General features: G+C 38.1%; 1 annotated feature.

Moving 5' to 3' along the window:
* Window positions 3,358-3,652: an enhancer, noted in NCBI's record as "tiled region #14344; HepG2 Activating non-DNase unmatched - State 24:Quies". NCBI's record gives its function as "activates a minimal TATA promoter and a strong SV40 promoter by Sharpr-MPRA in HepG2 cells {active_cell/tissue: HepG2}" and the evidence as "EXISTENCE:reporter gene assay evidence [ECO:0000049][PMID:27701403]".

The following is a 4,015-nucleotide window of genomic DNA, read 5'->3' as shown; positions in this document are numbered from 1 at the left end:
TTCACCTGGTGTATGAACATGGTTTTCTCAAAACTAAATTATCATTTGCAACACTCTCAATCATCTGAATAAAGGCTTTCTTCTATGTTCCAGAAAACAAGCACTAGAACATAATGTACCTGAAATTACAGGCTGAATTAACACATGTTGGCTAAGTGATGCTAAACACAAATAAGGCTAATTTTCTGAAAATCCATTCCTTAGGAAATGACTGATTTGCTTAGTTTTTACAGTAATCATTATGGTGAGTTCCTTGATTCTCAGACATGTCTATTTTAGTCATGTCAGTTTTTATTAATAAAGGAGATAGCTGGGCACAGTGGCTCACGCCTGTAATCCTAGCACTTTGGGAGGCCGAGGTCAGTGGATCACAAGGTAAGGAGTTCAAGACCAGCTTGGCCAACATGGTGAAACCTTGTCTCTACTAAAAAGATATTGGGGGAACCCACCCCCAATATTTCAACATAGGTTCTTTCTATTTTCTGTAAGTGTTAGCTGGCTGAGAAATAGAGACAGTATAAAGAGAGGAATTTTACAGCTGGGCCGCCAGGGGTGACATCACATATCGGTAGGACTGTGATGCCCACCTGAGTCTCAGACTAGCAAGTTTTTATTAAGGATTTCAAAAGGGGAGGGGGTATAAGAAAAGGCAGTAGGTACAAAGATCACATGCTTCAAAGGGCAAAAAGCAGAACCAATAATAAGGGTCTAACAAAGATCCCATGCTTCTGAGGGAACAGGACAAAGGGCAAAAGCAGAACCACTGATAAGGGTCCAACAAAGATCGCACGGCAAAGGGCAAAAGCAGAACCACTGACAAGGGTCTATGTTCAGTGGTGCACGTATTGTCTTGATAAACATCTTAACAGAAAACAGGGTTTGAGAGCAGAGAACCAGTCTGACCACAAATTTACCAGGGCGGAGCTTTTCCCCACCCTATTATTAGGCTTATGCCTGAGAGTACTGCAGGAGACCAGGGCATATTTTAGTCCTTATCTCAACTGCATAAGACAGACACTCCCAGAGCGGCCATTTATAGACCACCCCCCAGGAATGCATTCCTTCCACAGGGTGTTAATACTCCTTGCTAGGCAAAGAATTTAGCAATATCTTTCCTACTTGCACATCCACTTATAGGCTCTCTGCAAGAAGAAAAATTGGCTGTTTTTGCCCGACCCCACAGGCAGTCACACCTTATGGTTGTCTTCCATTTTCCACAAAAATCGTTATTCTGTTCTTTTTCAAGGTGCACTGATTTCATATTGTTCAAATACACGTTTTACAATCAATTTGTACAGTTAACACAATTACCACAGTGGTCCTGAGGTGATGTACATCCTCAGTTTACCAAGATAACAGGATTAAGAGATTAAATTAAAGACAGGCATAAGAAATTATAAAAGCTTTATTTGGGAACTGATAAATGTCCATATTAAGATGAACTCTTCACATTTACGTTCCTCTGCCATGGCTCCAGCTGGTCCCTCTGTTCAGGGTCCCTGACTTCCCGTAACAAAAATACAAAAAAGTTAGCCGGGCACAGTGGTGGGCGCCTGTAATCCTAGCTACTGGAGAGGCTGAGGAAGAGAATTGCTTGAACCTGGGAGGCAGAGGTTACAGTGAGCTGAGATTGCACCACTGCACTCTAGCCTGGGTGACAGAGTGAGACTCCATCTCAAATAAAATAAAATAAAATAAATAAAATTTAAAAAAAGGAGCTACATAAATATGGGTTTTATAAAGGTTATTTTTTACCATAGATAGCAATTCACTAAAAATTTACTGAACATTAAAGTAGATGCTGTGGATGGGTTAAAGAGAATTACGTTCAAAGAAGTGACTGGGTAAAAAATGCTCAAGAATGTAGATGGATAACTGAATTGAAAGGCCATTGTTGAGGGTAGGTGCTTTTTATTCAATCTCATGAGGTAGAGAGATTTAAGTGAACTGAAGGACCTAGAGAAGGAGAGAACAGTATAGAGGATAGATAGTTACACACACATACACACACTCCTCTTACACCTGTTTATGTTAGGAAAGCATAGAAGAGAAAGAGAGAACTGCCAGTTGCTAGGGAAAATAGCTTCACCCTCAGTCTGGACATTAACCAGTGAGAATAGCTAGGCTTTCCTTAAGAATCAGAGATTTATACAAACAGAATTAGTTGAGGTGATCCAGCTGTGAGTACTAGGATGGAAATTTAGACTTCTGTTTTCTAACTTGCCTGTGTCCAGGTTCCTCATCTGTAAAATTAGGTAAATGTCTCTATCATAAATATAAGGTGAATATTTACTCTAGAACTTACTCTAGAGATGAGATAATTCAGACGTTAGACTTCTTTACTCTCTCTGCTTTGCCCACCCTAACATTCCTTACCTGGAAAATAAGGTGGATATCTGTATGTTAAATAAAAACTGAATATGAGGTGAAATCAGCACATTCGAAGAAGAAGATAAAATGCTGGGTTTCCAAGTCTTCTGTGAAAGAGCTATATATATTATATGATATATATAATTCCTGGGGTGATGACATCAGGGAAATACATCAGCAGCTATGGTGAGTCTGAGAGCATTCATGTTGGACATGATTATGATGGTTCATGCGAGAAATAGAGTTAGCAGATAAGAGAAACATTTAGTCACTATTTTATTTAATAGTGTGTAGATCTTGGGGATTTGTAAAATAACCTGTTTCAATTTGGGGCCATCTGAAATTATTTCTTGTTATTCAGGGTTTCAAGATTGTTTTTCAAATGTAGATTAAAAATATATAGGAGTCAGTTCGATTACAGATCCAAATTTTTTTTTCACCAGCATATTTTTGTTTGAGAACAACTAGTACAAGAAATCATTTTAAGCTGGAATGGGATGAGCAAATTTAGTATATTTTCTTAGGGCTTTTGAGCTGTTATGTTACTATAATAAAATAATTTAATTTTCTTCAAGTTTACAAATTCTTTCATATGGCACCAGCAAGCATAGCCACATTCCCGTTACTGTAGCTTAAATCCTAAAATGAATAGAAAAAAAAACTGAGAAATTTAAAATCCCAGAAATCCATACTCAATTCTAGATATCTAATACATGCTAGTATTTTTATCTTGTTCTCTCTGCTTTCCATCCTTAAAATGAATTTCTAATATTTTGTATGTGTGTATAAAAATGAGACACAAAGGGAATTTTTGCTGGCTACTCCTTTGTTGAGTGTTTGTATTGGAGATGGATCTTCTCAGCCCAGCAATCCTGCCTGTGATCTAAAGGACTCACAGTGACCTGATGACTTTTATTTGGATTTGCTCTTTCTGTTTTATGCAGACATCATTCAGACAGTCATCATTACTTTAATGTAAATAAGCATCCTCTAAAACCTCAAGCTCTGATAGCTTTGTTTGATCAGAAGTCCCTCAGTAACAACTTCCTCTGGGTTATGGAAGTTGACTCAGCATGAAAGCATGTTTCCGCTTTTCAGCCCTTTTGACCTATCTGTGTTCTAAATGAAACATTCAATTACTCTTACCCTTCCTGTTTTCTAACCTTTGCCCATTGTGAGCCCTTCAATATGAATAAAATATCTAGCATACCAAAGAGGAAATAATGAGTCTAAAAGGTATCCGTCAAGTATGATGTAGTTGCCTGGCCAGCTATAGGCAGAGAAAAAGCACAACTCCCTGCTGTGCATTCTTCTTTGAGAAAAGAGTTACTGACACCTTTTAGTCTTCTCTCCATGGGAGCTTATTTCTTTTTTCTCCATCCACAGCATTTCTAAGATCCACATCATCAGAGAAAGAAAAGTAGAAGAAAAAAAATCAAGTGTGAAATGCAATTATAAACTGCATCTTGAAATCTATACCACCAAGAGGCTAACAAGGCAGAGGGTCCATGGCCTCTTTTCAAAGTTCAATTTCAAAGGGTAACTCTATATGCCTGAAATTGATGGTGCAACCAGGAGGGTCCCACCCATCAATTGCAGGTTTCAAAACTGCAACTCTTTCTTTGATATCAATAATAGATGACTG

The sequence above is a fragment of the Homo sapiens genome, chromosome 7 (genome assembly GCF_000001405.40).
Source record: "Homo sapiens chromosome 7, GRCh38.p14 Primary Assembly".
Classification (NCBI taxonomy): domain Eukaryota; kingdom Metazoa; phylum Chordata; class Mammalia; order Primates; family Hominidae; genus Homo; species Homo sapiens.
This window is presented reverse-complemented; position numbering and strand designations above follow the sequence as displayed.